At 41.7% G+C, this 20,520-nt stretch overlaps 1 long non-coding RNA gene across 1 annotated transcript in view; it reads right to left on the bottom strand.

Annotated features, from left to right (window-relative positions):
- Nucleotides 1-2,939, bottom strand: part of C10orf126 (chromosome 10 open reading frame 126) — a 35,491-nt gene extending 32,552 nt beyond the window's left edge. The window contains exons 1-3 of the long non-coding RNA NR_164114.1: nucleotides 2,884-2,939; nucleotides 2,084-2,228; nucleotides 981-1,131 (exon numbers count right to left, since the gene is read on the bottom strand). This is a non-coding gene — a long non-coding RNA (chromosome 10 open reading frame 126). The remainder of the gene's footprint in view (nucleotides 1-980; nucleotides 1,132-2,083; nucleotides 2,229-2,883) is intronic.
- Between the last annotated feature and the right edge of the window lie 17,581 nt (nucleotides 2,940-20,520).

Genomic DNA, 20,520 nt, shown 5'->3' with positions numbered 1-20,520 from the left:
CACCCTTTCTATTGGGGGATTCCAGGTCTGAAAACTGCCTCAGGTTCCAGGTACTAGACAAGGAATTGCAAATGTTTGATAGAGCAAACACCCTCAGCCTCCTGGGCATCCTTGTTGGATTTTTTTTTTTTTTAATACAAGGTCTCACTCTGTTTCCCAGGCTGGAGTGAAGTGGCACAACTTCAGCTCACTGCAACCTCTACCTTCTGGGTTCAAGTGATTCTCCTGCCTCAGCCTCCAAGTAGCTGGGACCACAGGTGCACACCATCGCATCCAGCTGATTTTTGTATTTTTAGTAGAGACAGGGTTTCACCATGTTGGCCAGGCTAGTCTTGAATTCCTGACCTCAAGTGATCCACCCACCTCGGCCTCCCAAAGTGCTGGGATTACAGGTGGGAGCCACTGCGCCTGGCCTGTGTTGGCTATCTTTTGATTAGATGTATTGAGAAGTATCCTCACAAGATTCCCATCTGTTTCACCCCATCATCACTACTCTCTGTGGATTCAACTCCACAACAGCCTTTCACACCACCAGTTGTGGTCTGCAGAGGAAAGCCTTCAGCTAATTTCCCAATGGCTTGGTGAATGCTGTGTTCTCCAGACCTCCCTGGGCATAATAATCCTCTGATGGGTCTTCTGATCGCCATAATATACCAGCATGTTCACTTCCCTGAGCCTTTAAAAATCTGTTTCAGCTCCGCTCAGCATGGACCTATCTCCAGGCTTGTTGAACCACCCAAGCAGCAAGTCTGCACCATCCTCTAGGGTCTTTGCCAAGCATTAAGTCCCATATCCTGAGAAAATGCCCTCACATTCCTGTATTCTCCTTTATCCTGCCTCCTTGATCAAGCGCCTTCAAAATCCAGTTCCTTCCTTCTAGTACATGGGGGTGAATTTTTCACAGTTTGAGGGAGGTACAGTCTCTTTCTAGCTCATCAGTGTTGCCATAATATTCTTGGCTTGGTGATGTTGCGACTTACCTCTAGTGATTGGTCTGGCAACCAGGCAAGAAGTTGAGGATCCTGAGAAGCCCTCCTTGGCCCGTGGGGACAGAACTCTGTGGTGTTGGCCCATATGGGTAGTTTCAGATCATAACAGGGAAGGATGAGCCACCTCTGCAGGCTCTGAGGGCTTAGAAGAGTTTGAGAGCTCAAAATATTTGGAGGCATCCACCCAAATGTCCCCATCCCGTGCACAAGAGCTCCATGTTTTCCCAACCAGTGCTCTGATCTTTGTGTAATGATAATCATCTTTGAAGCTAGGCAAGCCTATTAAATCCATAGTTTGGTCTTCTGCTTTTTCTACACTGAATGGAGTGAATATGGGCCCCATTCCTGGAGGCCCTCAGGCCTTCACAAGTGGCTTTCAATTGCTCCCTAACTGCCTACAGCTTTTCATTATCCTAATGTAGAGCCTCAATTCAATTGAGCAACAAGCAGCCAATTCCATTGTCCTTGGATACCTTGCTTCTCTCTGACCTCTCAAATGCCTGAATCCTCTCTCCATCCGGGGCTTTCCCGTCCACCAGAACATTCTTCCAAGTCACTGACATTGAACGTTTTAGGCAGGGCTCAGTGGCCCGTGCCTGTAATCCCAACACTTTGGGAGGACAAGGCAAGAGGATCACTAAAGGCCAGGAGTTCAAGACCAGCCTGAGCCTTGCTCTGTTGCCCAGGCTGGAGTGCAGTGGCATGATCATAGCTCACTGCAGCCTCGAGCTCCTGCGCTCAAGCAATCCTCCCGCCTCAACCTCCTGAGTAGTTGGGACTCCAGGCATGAGCCACCATGCCTGGCCGCAACATTCAGATGGATTTTTAAACTACCTGAGCTAAGTTAATTTCCTCATAGATTGGATGTGGATGTGAGAGCAAAAGAAGAGTCAAGGATGACCCAAGGGTTTGCTTTGAGCACATTCCTCAGTGCTTCCAGGGCATATGGCCTCTGAATGGTGCCCATGGGCTTATAAATCCATCTCCTCCCAAGAGATAACACATTTATTTTGTCCCTGGACCTTATGAAAGTTGTCAGAATCAAAATAGAATCACTAGTGTTTTTTAAGGAAAACAACAAACAAACAAAAAACCTGAACTGGATGCAGTGGTTCATGGCTGTAGTCGCAACTCAGGAAGCTGAGGCAGGAGGACTATTTGAGCTCAGGAGGTTGAGGCTGCAGTGAGCTATGATCACACCATTGCACTCCAGCCTGGGCGACAGAAAGAGGCCCATCTCTAAAAAACAAACATAAAAAGACTTCACTCTCATCACTCTTGAGATTAAGGATTTACCTAAGTAGTAAAATATGTCAGATCAGATTCTGGCCTCAGGAACTCTGAATCTGGGATGTGAAAAGGTTTCTGGAGAGGCATTCTGTTTCTCATATCATTAACCACAGGAAGATATTATTTGGTATACAAGAGGACATTGCTTAAAGAGGTGAGAAACAGAAACTATCTCTCCCTTATATTTCTCCAAATACCTTGTAAAGTTGTGAGTTAAAGAAAAAAGAATGATGTTCACTCAAAGGGGAGATGCAAAAATAAAAAGGTAAAACCTTTTCCCTTACCCTAAGGAGATAATGTGTGCATTTTAAAAAAGTTCTAATATTGTTTCTGCAAGTCAATATATAAGCATTATTGAAAAGTCCAATCTTGCCTGTGTTTTACAGCTCTCAGCTCCTTTCAGGAAGCAACTAAATCAGAAAACAGTGTTCTCTCTTCCTTGGAGCTGGCACAGGTTTTGATAACATCGATTGAATGCCAAGCGTAAGTACAGATTGGAAGTTAGAAGTATTGCTATTGACCGTTTTCTAATATGTCCTTCAGCTCAGTAATTAATCGATTTGTGACAAAATGAATAAGAAGCTGAGGTCTTCTAAGAGCTTACCATGTGGCAGACGCGAGCTCAGTGCTGTACATTCGCATTCATGCTCTTCATCCCTGTCTCTCAAGCCACTCGTCACACCCACACTCTCCGGGCCAGGAGGCTTGCACAACCTGCACTGGGAAACTTTCTCCCACCTGTTCTTGACTCCTGAAACCCCTCCACGGTGCCATCAGCCTGATCCACTAATAGCAAAACGCCTCACATCCCAAACTAACTTCCAAATAGTCCCTCCTTGTTCTGACAAAAACTGACTCTTCCCTGAGGACGATGCTCACATCTTCTCTCATGCGCTGGCTGTTTTTCTTTTTCTTTTTTTGAGATGGAGTCTCCCTCTGTAGCCAGGCTGGAGTGCAGTGGTGCGGTCTCAGCTCACTGCAACCTCCACCTCCCGGGTTCAAGTGGTTCTCCTACCTCAGCCTCCCAAGTAGCTGGGATTACAGGCACACACCACCACACCCAGCTAATTTTTGTATTTTTAGTGGAGACGGGGTTTCACCATGTTGACCAGGATGGTCTCAATCTCTTGACCTCGTGATCTGCCCGTCTCAGCCCCCCAAAGTGCTGGGATTACAGGCGTGAGCCACTGCGCCCAGCCACTGGCTGTTTTTCATTCCAGGCCCTCCTGCCACCTCCTGCAGACCTGGAGGTGATGGAGGGACCCTGCTGGTCCTCTTTTCCCCTTCCAGAACCTTCTCCTTCCCTTCTACTGCAAATCTCGTACCATCATCATCTATCACCCCTGAAACTGTCCCTAGAAACTTTATACAATTAATCAGAAGAGAAGGGAGGGAGAGAAACAAAAATAAGCCAAGCTTGCACATACTCAGTGTTAGTCATGGGGTCAGCTGTTCTCTGATCCTTCCTCATAGTGTTTTGCTACCTATTGCTCCAGAATCACACAGACCCTGTCACAAGATTAGAGTCCCCCTTCACTGCTCCACAGATAACAACTGAACATTGTGAAATGTTGCTTTCCATTTGAGATATTCTTGTAGGTCATGCATACTGATGAAACTACTGACGCCAGCTGGTCTGAAGGACCCCACGAGAAGCTGACTCACTGAAGAATGCAGTTTCTACATCCTGATGATTTCATCCCCCTTTCCCCAACCAATCAATGACTATAGTTTTTCAGCCCCTCACCCCCCATAATCCCCTTGAAAACCTCAGCCTAGAACTCTTCGGGGAGATGGATTTGAGGGTCTTCTCCCATCTGCTCACTCGGCCTCCCTGCTGTCATCAAACCCTCTCTCTGCTGCAAAGCCTGCTGTCTTGGTGTATTGGTCTGTTTCTGCACAACAGGCATACAAACATGTTGGTCCTGTAATACCCCTGCCCAACATTGTTCACCACCTTTTTCAACAACATCAGTTCTCAGCCCATTGGCATCCTCCCCAATACTTCTCCTCTCTTTTCTGAGCATGTTCAATGCATAGATAATAATCTTTCCAAAACTCCACCATCATAGGTCATTAAACTTCTCTCCTCCTTCAGGCATCTTGACCTCTACCCTCCTAGAAACAGTCACTCACTTTGATGGCAATACATGGATCTTGTCATGCACATTCATTGCAGTCCTTAGCCCCTTTTAACTTCTAATTACTCTGGGGCTCAGTCGTTGCTGTTGTTTTCATCTCTGTCTCTACTTACTCCGTTGGAGATCTCATGTGGTTCCATGGCTTTAAATACTACCCACACACTGATAACTCCCAAATGAATATCTCCAGTCCAGTCCTCTGTCCTGAACTCCAAACCTGCATATCCAATAGCGTACTCATCATTTTCACTTGAATATCTAAAATACTTCTCTAACTCACACGTCCACTACTAAACTGATTTTCCCTACCTATCCCACTGTACCCACAACCTTCCCCATGTTAGTTAGTTGATGACAATTTCGTCCTTGTGGCCTAAAACAGAACACTTCTTGGATTCATCCTTGACTCCTCTCTTTCTCCCCTATCCTACATCCAATTCATCAAGAATATCCCTTGTCTCTTTCTTCAAAACACATCCAGATTCTGACAACTTCTCACTGCCTTTGCTGCTCTTATTCTGATCCCAATACCATCTGGAGGACTGCTCTAGCCTCCTGGAGGCTGCCTTTACTGCTCTTGTTCTGATCCCAATACCATCTGGAGGACTGCTCTGGCCTCCTGAAAGGCCCCCCTGCTCCTATACCTTGCCCCTTATCATCTATTCCATGTGATTCAGGCTTCTGTGACCTCTCTAGTCTCAGCTCCTACCATCCCAGCTCCAGCACAGCAATTCCCTTCTGCTCCTCAGTCAACCTCCAGGCTCCTTCCTTTCCTCAGCCTGAACATCATGCCGTCAAAGATCCACACGGCTCACTTCCTCTCCCTGTCTAAGACTTTATTCAAATCTCATGATCTCATATTGTCATAAGCCAGTTCTCATCATCCTATTTAAACTCACAACTTTAGCTCCTTCCTCAAACACACTATTCCTTTATCCTGCCCTACACTCTTCCTTTTCTTTGTTATTTCTTTCATTTTGGACAGCATGGCATTTATTATCTTCTGACAGTCTATATAATTTACTTTATTATTATGTTTATTATTGATTATGTTTATATTGAATTCCTTTCATCCTCTTCTTGGTAGAGATAGAGTCATTGAGCACGATAATACAGAAGCTGTTGTGTTGCAGATTACCATGGCAATAACGACAACAAAAAAAAGTGCAGTCTTTTTTTTTTAGGCTCCAATTTGAAGACTGCAAGAATCTATCGATAGAGACAAGAACAGGTCTCAACCACAAGAAGCTGCAGCAATATGAAGGAAGGATAGATGGGCAAGGAGAAAAAGGGCAGAAATGGAAGAGAGAAGGGGCTTTTGAATGTCAGTTCAAAGTGGGTTATGTTCAGAATAAAATATGACCTAATCAGAATGGAGAAGAAGCATCTGGACTCTCTGAACCCCAGCCACTGAGGAATAGGGGCCTCTTTCTGTTAATGCACCCTTTCCAATGTGATAAGGCATCAAAACAGGGTGACCGTCTTTTAAAATTACTAATAAGGAAGAAAGTCTACTAGTATGAAGCAATCATTTTTAATCCATTTTTTGATTCAACAGAATTTTTCAAGAGCCTACTGTGTGTAAAGTATTGTGGTTATACTATGGAAGATTTTAAATGGAATGAGAAATTATGTCATCCTGAAGATGCTAGAATATAGTAGAGGGAGGCCAGGCACAGTGGCTCAGGCCTGTAAACCCAGCACTTTGGAAGGCTGAGGAGGGCAGATCACTTGAGGTCAGGAGTTCGAGACCAGCCTCGCCAACACGGTGAAACCCCGTCTCTACTAAAAATACAAAAATTAGCCAGGTGTGGTGGCGGGTACCTGTAATCCCAGCTACTCAGGAGGCTGAAGCAGGAGAATTGTTTGAATCCAGGAGGTGGAGGTTGCAGTGAACTGAGATCTCACCACTGCACTCCAGCCTAGGCAACAGAGAGAGACTCTTGTCTAAAAAAAAAAAATATATATATATATATACACACACATATATATATACACATATATATACATATATATACACACATATATATACACACACATATATATATACACATATATATATACACATATATATACACATATATATACACACATATATATATATAGTAGGGGAAGAGGGCAAATAAACAGATTACTATAAATATAAAGTAGAAATTTTCATTATTGAGGCACAGCAAATGTATTAAGAACAAAGGAAGGGATTATATATTCTGCATGAGGCTAAATCAGCAAGCACCCTGGCTACCAAACTGCAAATAAAGAAGGGACGCTTTCTTTCCTAGCAGCAGTTTATGCTGATTTGAATCAAAAACGCTTTCTCTAGCACGCTAGAGAAACAAAACCCACAAAGTGATAGGCACAAGATAGAGACTTCAGGGTCCTGTGCTGGAGATCTGATGAGTAAACCAAAGCCATGACTCAATAATAGGAATTTGTCTATGGTTTGTTTCAGTATGAAGATCTCTAAGGAAATCCCTTCTGTTGCTTGGCATGGAAACATTGTGAACAACTAGGGACAAATCCCTAGGGAAAAAGGGACTCTGGGGATTACAACAGGGGTTCTTGAGTTCAGCCATGCCTCCAAAAATAGAAAGTACCCCACTGTTGCCCACTGTGGAGAATGTGAATTTGCTTTATTGACAGAGCTTCAGACCTAGAATGAATGATTTTATCTTCTACAATATGGCACAGAGTGTTGTCATTAACAATTGATATGGAGGGCACAACATTTATTAAATTTTTTTAAACTTTTCTTTCCAAATACTGAAGCCAACCGTTAACAACAAACTATTTATTTATAGACAGGATCTCACTTTGCCACCCAGGCTGGCATGCAGTGGCACAATCACAGCTCACAGCAGACTCAACCTCCCTGACTCAAGCAATCCTCCCGCCTTAGCCTCCTGAGTATCTGGAATCACAGGCACACACTACCTTGCATGGCTAATTGATTTATTTATTGTAGAGACAAGTTCTATGTTGCCTAGGCTGGTCTCATAGTCTTGGGTTAAAGCAATCCTCTCACCTAGGCCTCCCAAAGTGCAGATTACAGGCATGAGCCACTGCGCCTGGCCCATAACAATCTATTTATATGATTTCTGGAGTAGTTAGTGACTGGCCTTTCTTTTAATGTGGATCAGATTTCTCTCAACCTCTAAAATAGAAATGATTCATCCTGGAAAGATGGGTATTATGCTACCGAGCCAAAATGCTTTTTTTTTTTTTAGAATGGGAAAAAAATCAGTGTGATTTCTAAGGTTTTACCTAATATCATCCCTAGAAAACAGCTTGCTGAATGTCTTATATAGCTTTGTCTTATAATTAGATTCACATACACAGTGAAAATTTAGCATATACAATTTATTTGAAACCAGATATTTCTGTTTCATGCTGCCCCATACTTTGCCTGATGGACAAACAAAACGAATGCTTATTTTAGAATATTTAAGTTTAACAAACACAAAGCACAGTTAGTTTTCACACAACAGTGCCTCCTTGTAGCAACAACCCTACAAGGCACTTGAGTTGAGCCAGCGGGAGGACCTCCACCCCACATCTTTCAGGATAAAGTGGTAAATGGGAGGTGGTACTAAAGTCCTATAATTCCTCTTAAGCTTTTAAGAAATTCCCTCCATTAATATCAGTAGCTAGTTTTCCTTAAGGCTTTGGTCTGAAGGAATGTATTACTGGCAATCTTGACAAAAGATGTTTTAGTTTATGTGCAGTCGTCTCAAGATTGTACAGATATTTGCTTTGACTAACCTCAGAAATTCAAGCAAAGCCATGTTACAGTAGGCATATAAACAAGCAGGTCACAGGGTTAATGTTTGATGCTAACACTGACTTTTTTCTACCACTCAAAAGCACGCAGGAGCAGTAAGATGTGCTACCCAGAAGCAACAAAAGATAAACACTTAACTATCCGCAGTCAACCAGCTTGGAGCTTTCAGGCGATGAAAAGTTATTTAATTATTAAGGCAAAAAGCACACAGGCGTACGACTGAGGACACCAGAGAAGTTGATGCTTTCCAAATTTTGAATAAAAGATTGTAACTTTAAAACTGATTTTATGGAATAAAAATAATCTCAATGGATCTGTAAGAATGTATTTAAAAATTGATCTGAAAATGATATTTCTTAATCCATTAATCATTAGCAAAAAAAGAACTCCTCCATGCATGCATCATACATGATATGGAAAACGTATTGAATATTGATTTTGGCAGGGTGGGAACACATTTCCAAATGTGTTTCTGGACTAGGGATCTATGTATCTGTCTTGCCTATCTCACCTCAAGACTGAGCTCCTGGTCGGGTGGCTGACACCTATAATCCCAGTTCTTTGGAGGCCAAGGCAGGAGGATCGCTTGAGGCCCCTGGCAATATAGCAAGACCCTATCTCTACAAAAATAATTTTAAAATTAGCTGAGTGTGTTGGCGTGTGCCTGTAGTCCTAGCTACTCGGGAGGCTGAGTACTCAAGGAGGATCAGTTGAGCCCAGGACAGGAGTTCAAGGCTGCAGTGGGCTTTGATTGTACCACTGCACTCCAGCCTGGGCAACAGAGCAAGACTCTGCCTCAAAGGAAAAAAAAAAGACTGAGCTCCCCGAAGGTCCAAGGGCACTCTTTGAAATCCCACACTTGGCGGGGTGCATAGCAGAGAAACGGCTCAGAAAGTCTTGTGTTGAATTTCAGTAAAACAGACAAGATCACATCCCAACTGTTATCAACAATAATTGTGAACTCTCTTCACTTGACCTCTCTCTTAAACTTCAAGTCAAAATTCCCCATCTAGAGAATGGGAGAAGTAATTTTATGCAGCGGAGTCATGGTTCCAAAGCTTTCCACGAACTTTAAAGGCAGTACCACTCCATCTAAACCCAGATATTAATATTTAAGATACTTTCATTCTAGGGCGCAGGAGGCCAGCTTTCCCATTCCTTCAGGAAGAGAAACAGAATGTGTACCAATAAAAATGTTTGCAGGGACAAGGAGCTGCAGACTGGCTGATAAACAAGCTCTAGATTTAGTAGACGTGGTTACAAAGGTCCCAAGTTCCGGCAGTAAGTCATTCCACATTTATCTGAGACGCTCTTCTCACAGATAAATGCAGCCCTTATCAAGAGGCTACGTATGTGCCCAGCACCGTTTATTTTGGCAGTGGCTCAGTTTCTGCCTCTATAATTAACTGAGGCTGATGAGTCGACAGCAGCTCCAAGAGAGATCAGAGGAAATTTGACTTCATCTCCCTGCCTTTTATTTTCTCTGCTCTCCACTACCTGGCCTCCCTTGTGTCTTTTTTTTTTTTTTTTTTTTTTTTTTTTTTTATTAATACAGGAGAGCAAATTTAACCCACATCCTGGCCCAGCAGGGGAGCTCAGGAACAACATAAAATTCCAAATATGTGTTTTGATCCTCATTGCCCCTCTGCCAGAAACAGCAACTTCACTTCTCATCAGACACTAGCAACAGCTTCTTAATTATCCCCACAAAGAATAAGGGACACTGTCCGGATCTTTACTGAAATCTGAAATAGCCCTTAACTCTGTATTCTACTAACGAGGACTCTAGAACATTAAGGTAAATGCTCACTAATGGGCTAGTGCTTGAATTCATCACAGAAAATGCTCTCAAGTGAGTGCATAGGATAGCTGTGAAAACAAAGGCAATCAACAAGTCCACAGTTGACTACCAGTTCTAAATTCATAAACCTTCTTGTTGAATGATAGGTCAAAGAACATATGCAATATCATGGGCCACTATTTACTCATAGGCTGATATCTCTGCAGGGTGTGTGTGTGTGTGTGTATGCACGTGCACACGTCCACACAATACAAATGTTGGTTCAGGCCAGACACAGTGACTCATGCCTATAATCCCAGTGCTTTGGGAGGCTAAGGCAGGAGGGTCACTTGAGGTCAGGAGTTTGAGACCAGCCTGGGCAACAAAGCAAGATCCCTCTCTACAAACAATTTTTTAAAATTAGCCAGGCATGGTGGCACCTATCTGTAGTTCCAGCTACTCAGGAGGCTAAGATGGGAGGATCACTTGAGCCCAGGAGTGTGAGGCTGCAGTAAGCTACAACTGCACCACTGTACTCCAACCTTGCAACAGAGGGAGACCCAAACAACTTTTGGTTTCTTCCTACCACCCAGATCTTGTTTCAGACATTCTAATTCAAAAAGCAACCTCTGTATCCTTCTTCTTTTTTGTTTTTGTTTTATCCAAGGGCTGATATTTTTTTATTTATAATTGACACATAATCATTGTACATATTTATAGGGTACAGTGTGGTGTTTACATGCAGGTATACATAGCATAATGATCAAATTAGGGTAATTACCATATCCATCACTTTAAACATTTATCATTTCTTTGTGGTGACAACATTCAAAATCTTCTGTCTTGAAATACTGTGTACACTACATTGTTATTTGCTATAGTCACCCTACCCTGTAACAGAACTCCAAAACTTATTCTTCCTGTCTAACTGCAATTTCGTATTCTTCTTTATAGTAGCTCTAGACACAACGACAGGCACACTGCATGAGACTCAGTTGCTGTGCCACACTTAACTAAGAAGAATAGATTCCCCGAACTCTCTTAAGAGAGTAGCTCATGGGTTAAACATAGCTAGTGTCAGATTTTGACCTAAAGTAGCAGAATGTGAGGTTACCCATGACACATTTCCATGCATTCCTCATAAATACCCATCAGAAGATAGGCATTATCTCAGCTGGAAATGTGCCATCTTCTCCGTGATGAAGAAAAATCATTTCTATTATAAAATAATCTGATAAAAGCAACCCACATTAACAGCTTCCCATATTAACAGCATTTCATATCTGGTCATGTAAAGTGTCCTAACACACACTGTCTCCTCTAGACAGACTCCATCGTGTCCTCCTGAATGCTCCTAAACTGTGATTATCATCCTTTAAGTGTCTGCCTCCCCTGTGCAGCTGTGTTCAAGAGCAATTCCTGTCTCATTCTTTCTTTGTCTTTCTGTTCTGTTCTTTTCTTTCTCTTTTTTTCCTTCTTTCTTTCTCTTTTCTTGTTTCTTTTTTCTCTCTTTCCTTCTTTCTTTCTCTCTTTTCCTTCCTTTCTCTTTTCTTCTTTCTCTCTCTTTCTCTTTTCTTCTTTCTTTCTCTTTTTCTTTCCTTTCTTTCTTTCTTTCTTGCATTCTTCTTTCTTTTTCTTTCCCTCCTTCCCTCCCTCCTTTCTTTTCCTCCCTCCTCTCCTCTCCTTTCCTGTCCTCTCCTTTTCTGACAGGGTCTCACTCTATTGCCAAGGGCAGAGTGCAGTGTAAGGATCATGGCTCACTGCAGCCTCAACCTCCCAGCCTCAAGCAATCCTCACACCTCAGCCTCCCAAGTTTCTGGGATTACAAGCATGCATCACTGTGACCTGCTAATTTTTCATTTTTTGTAGAGAAAGAGTTTTGCCATGTTGTCCAGGCTGGTCTCAAACTCCCGGGCTCAAGCGATCCTCCCACCTCAGCCTCCCAAAGTGCTGAGATTACAAGCATGAGCCACTATGCCTGGTGTATTCATCTTTCTAACTCCAGCAGTGTGCAAACTCTCTAGCGCACCTGAGTTTCAACAAAACCATTTATAGAAATGGAATAAATCATCTCCTTTGATCCTTGCAACAGTTACGGGAGCTAACGCCGAGAGGAGTTAGACGCAGATAATTGAACACATGACCAGTGATAGAGAGAAAACAAAGGCATTTGGTGCCAGGTCTAACCTCATGTCACCCCATCAGCTACCTGCTTTAATTGAATACTCACCCAGTGAATCACTCTGCAGCTTCAATATTTATTTTCACATTAGTGTGTTTTATGCACCCACAGGGATTATTATTTCTTTGAAGGCAGAAGATTTAAAATTAATAAAACATATTGTACATTTGCATGGCTCTCAACACAGTTTGAACTCCTTCCTCATTGCAAAGAGTGTAAAAAATAACATTTAGGCCGGATGCAGTGGCTCATACCTGTAATCCCAGCACTTTGGGAGCCCAAGGCAGGGGTATCACTTGAGGCCAGGAGTTCAAGATCAGTTTGGGAAACATAGAAAGACCCTGTATTTACATAAAAATTTTTTTAAAAATTAGCCAGGTTTGGTGGCACATGCCTGTAGTCCCAGCTACTGCGGCTGAGGCAGGAAGATCACTTGAGTCCAGGAGTTCAAGACTGCAGTGAGCTCTCTCACTTTGCCTTTGCAAGACTATTGGATTCCAAGCCTAGAGAGTGACATCAGCCTAAGCCAGGCCAATAGCTCAATATTCCAGCATCATTTTGGAAAATAAATATGTAAACCATGGCACTCCTGCCTGGTTGACAGGGTGGCACCCTGTCTCAAAAAGAAAGAGAGAAAGAGAAAGAAAGAAAAGAAAGCATGAAAGAAAAAGAGAGAGAAGGAGGGAAGGAAGGAAGGAATGGGAGAGAGAAAGGGAAAGAAAAAAGGAAGGAAGGAATGGGAGAGAGAAAGGGAAAGAAAAAAGGAAGGAAGAAAAAGAAAGAAAGAAAACAAAAGAAGGAAAGAAGGAAGGAGAGAAAAGAAAGAAAAAGAGAGGAAGGAAGGAAAGAAGGAAGGAAGGAGAGGGGAAAGAGAAAGAAAGAAAAAGAAAGAAAGAGAAAGAGAAAGAAAGAAAGAAAGAAAGAAAGAAAGAAAGAAAGAAAGAAAGAAAGAAAGAAAGAGAAAGAAAGAAAAGAAAGAAAGAAAAAGGAAGGAGGGAAGACAGAAGGAAAAAGAAAGAGGGAGGAAGGAAGGAGAAAAATAATATTTAATAGTGTTCACATAAATCCTAATATGTCATTTACACAAATTGTCCAGTGATAACCATCAGGACCTGCTGTGGGAGTGAGACCTGAACCCTCCCATCCCTTTCTGTCCAGCAGCATCAGTGTATTTTGTCTCTCACTTTGCCTTTCCAAGACTATTGGATTCCAAGCTTAGAGAGTGACATCAGCCTAAGCCAGGCCAACAGCTCAATATTCTGGCATCTTTTTGGAAATTCTTTTGTCATTCCCAAACCCACCCTGACACTTGAGATTCAATGCTCCCTGTGACTCCCCAGTACTAAAGAAGTGCCAAGCTCAGATGGATTCATCCCAGTGTGAGATTTTACAGTCACTCAAGAACCAGGCACCTGGAAACTGGGAAACACTCTTACTTTCTCTACCACACTTGGAGCTTCTTATAGGATATCATATAAAGTTCAATCAGTAACTCCAATCATCAGAACAAACCTTTGATTAAACAAAGGATTTATTCCTGGGTCAATACCTGAACTTCTAGACTTCATTCAGTATCATCCTTGTAGTATTTTGTCTTACTTCTCATGCTACATGCTTTCCTTCAACTAAATTCCTATTATGAGCCACTTGATTGACTTAAATTTTTCAACCTAGCACCCACAGCATTTACATATGTAATTGAGTATGCACAAGGAGTATTTTTGTGTATTTTCACATGTACTCATTCTGTCTTTTCCCACTAAGCAATAAATAACTTGAAGTTAGAGGCTGTGTCTTTATTTTTTTATCTCCTTACAACATCCAACTCAGAACTCTGTGGAACAAGTATTCAATAAAGTTGTTTGCTCCTTAAGTAGGTAATTTTATAGAATATGATAGAAATTTAACAGATGTGACTGTGCCTTATCCATGTTGTAAAATAGAGCAGAAGAGAGATCTTTCCTCTTTAGAGATTGAGCTCTGTGAGAGTAAACATCCATCCAAATTCTATCGCTGTTCCAAGCCTTCATTTCTTTGAAGCATAGAGGTAAAGTCTACACAGAGCAACTATCTTGCAAGTAGTCACCAGACTGCATCAGTAAAGATTTACAAGGACCAGATGCAGTCGCTCATGCCTGTTATTCTAGTGCTTTGGGAGGCTGAGGCAGGAGGATCACTTTAGGCCAGGAGTTCAAGACCAGCCTGGGCAACATGGTGAGATGTCCCCATCTCTAAAAAAATGAAATAAAATAAAATAAAAAAGTAGCTAGGCATGGTGGCATGCATCTGTAGTCCCAGCTACTTAGGAGGCTGAGGTGGGAGGATCGCTGAGCCCAAGAGTTCATGGTTACAGTGAGCTATGATCATACCACTCACTCCAGCCTGGGCAACAGAGTGACACTCTCTCTAAAAAAAAAAAAAAAAAAAAAAAAAAAAAAGATTTACCCAGAACAATCAACAAAAGAAATTAAGATTCCACCCATTATGTTCTGAGAAGTTCCAAGGTGTAGGATAGGCAGATAAGAATGATTATTCATTAGGGGCTGATGTAACCAGTACTTATTTTGGAGGATTTAAAATCAAACACTAATCCCACTCAGAAAGGTTTGAGAATTAGCCTAATAGCCTAATAGCCATTGAAACGTAAGCTCTCATTTCCACAGTGGAGCCCTTCCAGGCTATATTTTGTCTCAAATAAGATGGATGCCTGAGACTGGGTCAGGCCGGTGTCCTGCACCCGTACATTTTTTTTCTATGAACTGCATGTCATCAAGAAACCATTGAAAATGGAAGTCCGCACTTTACCCATTATTATATCAATGAGATGAAAATGTGTAACCGATTCTGTCCGTTCTGTTTCCATGCTGACATGGCTTAAGCCCTTTTGCTGCATGATCATTTTGTTGGACCACATCTCAAAACTAGAAACATCAGAAACTTGTCATTTAAGTGTTCAATTTTAACTATCTATAGTTTGCTGAGTTTTTGGTGTGAGATACAGGCAGCATTGCATGACTATAAAGGATTATTCACTAGATTAAATATAATATATAATAAATTATTATATATTATATTTGATTCCTGTTGGAATTATATATATCTGATTCCTGTTGGAATCAGATGGGTTTGAACAACCCACAGAAAGTCGGTGGCAGAACCTAGAACCAAAACAATAGAAACCTTAACACTTGCTTAGCCGTGTTCCATGGAAACTGTAGAGGTTGTTTTTTTCCTCTATTCTACAGCCATTTTTCATAAGTTGATTCCAGCCTGTCTATTGACAAACAACCGATTTTGGAGCACTTAACGATCTTGGTTGGGAAAACACTGGTACTTTAAAGAATTACCAGTGTTTTGATAATTGTTTTTATGGCATGTTTGGGCATACCACATAATTTACTTAAATAAGCATCCCAATGTGAAGTTAATTAAGTTCTGAAGAGAGTTAACAAAACTCTCAAGAAATAGATTATTAAAAAAACTGCAACCAACTTGGTCTTGGCTGTCACAACTTAGATTTAGATTGCTGTAAGTATACTTAATCGTGCTTACTGCCAAATACTGTATTTCTGTGTTTGTTCATAAAAATTTAATTTGAAATGCATGTAAGGATGATACAGCCTTTTTATAAAAGGAAGTTATTATCTGTGATAAAAGCAGTTGTTGACATTAGAAATGCAGACGCAAGGATCCAGACGGGAAATGTAATAAAAAGAAAACAAATGTAGCAGAGGAGAGGGGGGTTAAAAATATGGCAAAACAAAGCCAGATGTGGCTGCAAAAATCTGCCCACAGGCAAAGCTGGAACTCCTACCTTTCATATGGGCCATCGTTGGCCATTAGAAGTAAAATATCCATCCTGGCTAACATGGTGAAACCCCGTCTCTGCTGAAAATACAAAAAATTAGCTGGGCGTGATGGCACGTGCCTGTAGTCCCAGCTACTCGGGAGGCTAAGGTAGGAAAATCGCTTGAACCCGGGAGGTGGAGGTTGCAGTGAGCCAAGATCACGCCACTGCACTCCAGTCTAGGAGACAAAGTGAGACTCTGTCTCAAAAAATAAAAAATAAAAATAAAAATAAAAAAATTAAAAAGTAAAACATGACGCAGATCTAGAAAGCAAAGTGGACGATTCAATTCACAGCTGCCTGCTGAATGCAACCTCTGCAAGTAGAGGTTGAACATTTATTCAATGAGGAATGAACAAATGAACACTGCTTCTATTTTTTTCTAAACACTGCTTCTTTTTTCTTTTTGGAGACAAGGCCTCATTCAGTCACCCAGGCTGGAATCCAGTGGTGCGATCACGGCTCACTGCAGCCTTGACCTTCCAGGCTCAAGCTGATCCTCCCACCTCAGCCTCCTGAATAGCTTGGACTACAGGCGTGTGCCACCACACCTGGCTAATTTTTTTATTTTTCTGTAAAAACAGGGGTCTTAGTATGTTGCCCAGGCTGGTCTTGAACTCCTGGGCTCAAGTGATCCTCCCACCTTGGCCTCCCACTGCTTCTTTTAGTGTCTCGGGATAATTGACTGTGGATTTCCCCCCACACTGCTGAGCCTTCTTGTTTCCATTGCTTCTTCATCAGACGTTCTCCAGTGGGGCTCCCACACAGTAGTTTAATGAACAGCCTTTAATACTATACCCCACAGAACTGCAAAGACATGAGGCTGTGTGGTAAAAACTGGTACTTCAACACATTTTACTTAGGCTCAGAAAATCTGTTAAATGTTAGATTCTTTTAACAAAACCCATGGCAGTTTCTCCCCTCCCCACATCCATACAGTTGTCATCCTGGAAATTCTTTTCACAGATCACCAGGATACCATAAGACTCCCCAGGTTCACCTTGATGTTCACCAAAGCAAGTCATTAATGATGTACTCAGCGGCAGGTGTCAGTGCTGGGTTTTGGCTAATGTTTTTAATCTTTCCTGTAAGACAAATGTGTTTTTAAACTTGTGTTTTACCCGCCCCCACTCCCCGCCCCTCCCCTAGGCTGTCTAGGGTTGCTCCTTAATGTTCAAAATAATTCCATGCTTATGCAAATAACAGAAAACTCATAGATCTCCCAAAAAGGGTTTCTTAGGGCCCAGTGCAGCGGCTCACGCCTGTAATTCCAGCACTTTGGGAGGCTGAGGCAGGCAGATCACTTGAGGCCAGGAGTTCCAGACCAGCCTGAACAACATGATGAAACCCTGTCCCCACTAAAAATACAAAACTTAGCTGGGCATGGTGGCGGACGCATGTAATCCCAGCTACTTAGGAGGCTGAGGTGGGAGAACTGCTTGAACCCGGGAGGCGGGGAGGTTGCAGGGAGCCGAGATTATGCCACTGCACTCCAGCGTGGGTGACAGAGCAAGACTCCGTCTCAAGGAAAAAAAAAAATTCCTATCACTCAAGACAGCCCATAATCTTGAATATCATGAAGCCCCTGCCATTTCCTTCTTCTCTTCCTAAGTGAATTGCTGGAAGACTCAAATTTTAATGAAACTAAAAAGCATGAAAACTGTGGGAGGTGTAGAAATAAATACTTGGTCCTACCTGAAACCCACAAAAGTTCCAGAAGGGAGGCAGCACCCAAGGGTGTGCACAGGACATTGTAGGAGAAGGACTGACCTCAAGATCCAGAATGATTTGCTAAATCTCCCACATCTGTGTCTTCAATAGCACAGAAATGTTTCTAATAACTTGGTTCACAACAAGAACCAAACGTTTCCTCAAGTCTTGCCACGAATATTTTCGAAAACAACGATGGCCACATTAATAGAAATCAGACCTGGAAATACATACCCAGGTTGTTATAAGGATATCCAGATTAGAGAGTTTAAGAAAGTTCAGACCCTTAAGCAAAGTGTCCTGTGTGATATTAGGAATTGGCAATTGAGTCCCACAGCCTACGAGTCTTGTGTTGAAACTCTCCATCCTAGAGGCGGTTTTCAGCCTCTGGGTGGAAATCTGTGCCTATCACTGTCTCCCCAGCCCTCCTTCTCCACTGATGTGGGTGGACACACAGACATACATATTGGCCAGCCAGTTAGATTTTGGCCAACTTTTTAAATGTTAATTATAAAACGTTTATTATAAAACCTTTAAAAATCAGGTTTTAGGCCAGGCACGGTGGCTCACGCCTGTAATCCCAGCACTTTGGGAGGCCGAGGTGGGCGGATCACGAGGTCAGGAGATTGAGACCATCCTGGCTAACAGGGTGAAACCCTGTCTCTACTAAAAATACAAAAAATTAGCCAGGCGTGGTGGTGAGCACCTGTAGTCCCAGCTACTTGGGAGGCTGAGACAGGAGAATGGCATGAACCTGGGAGGCAGAGCTTGCAGTGAGCGGAGATGGCGCCACTGCACTCCATCCAGCCTGGGCGACAGAGCGAGACTCCGTCTCAAAAAAAATAAAAATAAAAAAATCAGGTTTTAAAATGGCATAAAATAGATGGAATAAAAGTGTTTTATTTCATCATTTATTTTGCACCCTTTTAATAGTTCTATATTATTGCATTCTATGTATGGATGTACCACAGCTTACTTAACCAAACCATCATTGTCAAACACACATCTTTTACACAATTTTACAAGGTGCTATGCTAAGTGTAAATTTTTACACATATCTATGACAGTTTTGTGAGATAAGCAGACCTACTACATCAAAGAACACAAAGGTTTCAGGACGTTTGAAATTTATTTGTAAATTAGCCACCACTTATGTTTTACATTCCCAGCAACAATATGTGATTTCTCACTCTTCCAAACACTAATCACTTTTTAAATTTTACCACCTTGTTAGGTTAAAAACAACACCTTGTTTGGATTTGTAGTGTGTTTCATTATTAGGGAGATTGAACCTCTTGTCATTTGGTTAGTTGGTTGCTTCAGTCAATAATAAGATATTTATTGAGTGCCTATTATGTTACCAGTTCTAAACTGGGGAAGACAAATGGTTTGCAGATCATGTAAAGAACAATAAAATACCAGGATATATAACAAGAAGAAAACAAGACTTAGAAAGGACAATTGTTTTAAGAGCTGAGCTCTAGAAAGGAAGTTAGACTGATGCATTTTTTTCTCCTTATAATCTTTTGTATTTTTGTTGTTGTTGTTATTTTGTCTTGCCTTTGTTTTTTGTTGTTTGAAACAGAGTCTCTCTCTGTCGCCCAGGCTGGAGTGCAGTGACACGATCTCAGCTCACTGCAACCTCTGCCTCCTGGATTCAAGCAATTCTCCTGCCTCAGCCTCCCAAGTAGTTGGGATTACAGGCATGGCCAATACTCCTGGCTAATTTTTGTATTTTTTGTAGAAATGGGGTTTCGCCATGTTGTCCAGGCTGGTCTCAAACTCCTGGCCTCAAGTGCTCAAGTGATCCTCCAGCCTTGGCCTCCCAAAGTGCTGAGATTACAGGTATTAGCCACCATGCCTGGCCAATCTACTCTGTTTTTAAACTTGTTTTGTATATACACTATACACCAAAAAACACATACATATGTGCATCTTAAAGAATTATAGAAATTAAAAAATGAAATTAAAGAAATGAAACATAAACCCATGTGCCAGTCTCCCAGCTTAAGAAAGAAAGGTAACTGATTATTCTGCAGCCTTATAAATACCTCCACCCAGAAACAGGTTCTCCTCTTTTTTTCTAAGAGGTAAGTGCTGAGCTTTATATAAACCCCCTCCTGAATTTTCTTTAGAGATTTTAACATATGTGAACATATCTCTGATTAACATATTGTTGAGTTTGGCCTGTTGTTGAATCATATATAAGTTCCGCAATTTAGGGCTTTTTTTGTTTTGCTTGGTTCTCTTTTTTCATACACTTTGTTCTTGACCTGTATCGAGTATAGGTTTTTCATTTTCAGTGATATAAAGTCTACCATTACTTAGTATACATCAATATACTTATCCATCCTGCCATCACTGGACATTTGAGTTCAGGTTGTTTTCTTTTTAGAATTATCACAAGCAATATTGCTATGAAGAATCTTATGCATGTCTCCAGATCAAAAGTGGTGCAAGAGTGTCTTTAGGGTATATATTAGGTTGAACCACATGAAATTGCCATTTTTGTATGTCACAGACAGTCTAATTACTCGCTTACAGGGTCGGCATGTGTTTGACTTAATTCCTAATAAATTATTTTATAAAATGGTTTTATCAACTTGCACAAACACAGCAGTGTTTGAAAGCTCCCTTTGTTCCACATTCCTGCCAATACTTGGCTTTGCAAGACATTTTGATTTGGGCCACTGTAGAGGATGTGTAGTGATGTCTCATAGTGGTTATCATCATCCTGATAACCAGTGAGGTCGAGCATTTTTCATTTGTGTATTAGTTATTTATGTCTTCCTCTAGGTCA

This window comes from Homo sapiens, chromosome 10 (genome assembly GCF_000001405.40).
Source record: "Homo sapiens chromosome 10, GRCh38.p14 Primary Assembly".
Lineage (NCBI taxonomy): Eukaryota > Metazoa > Chordata > Mammalia > Primates > Hominidae > Homo > Homo sapiens.
Note: the sequence above shows the minus strand (reverse complement) of the source record. Positions and strands in the feature narration are given on the sequence as shown.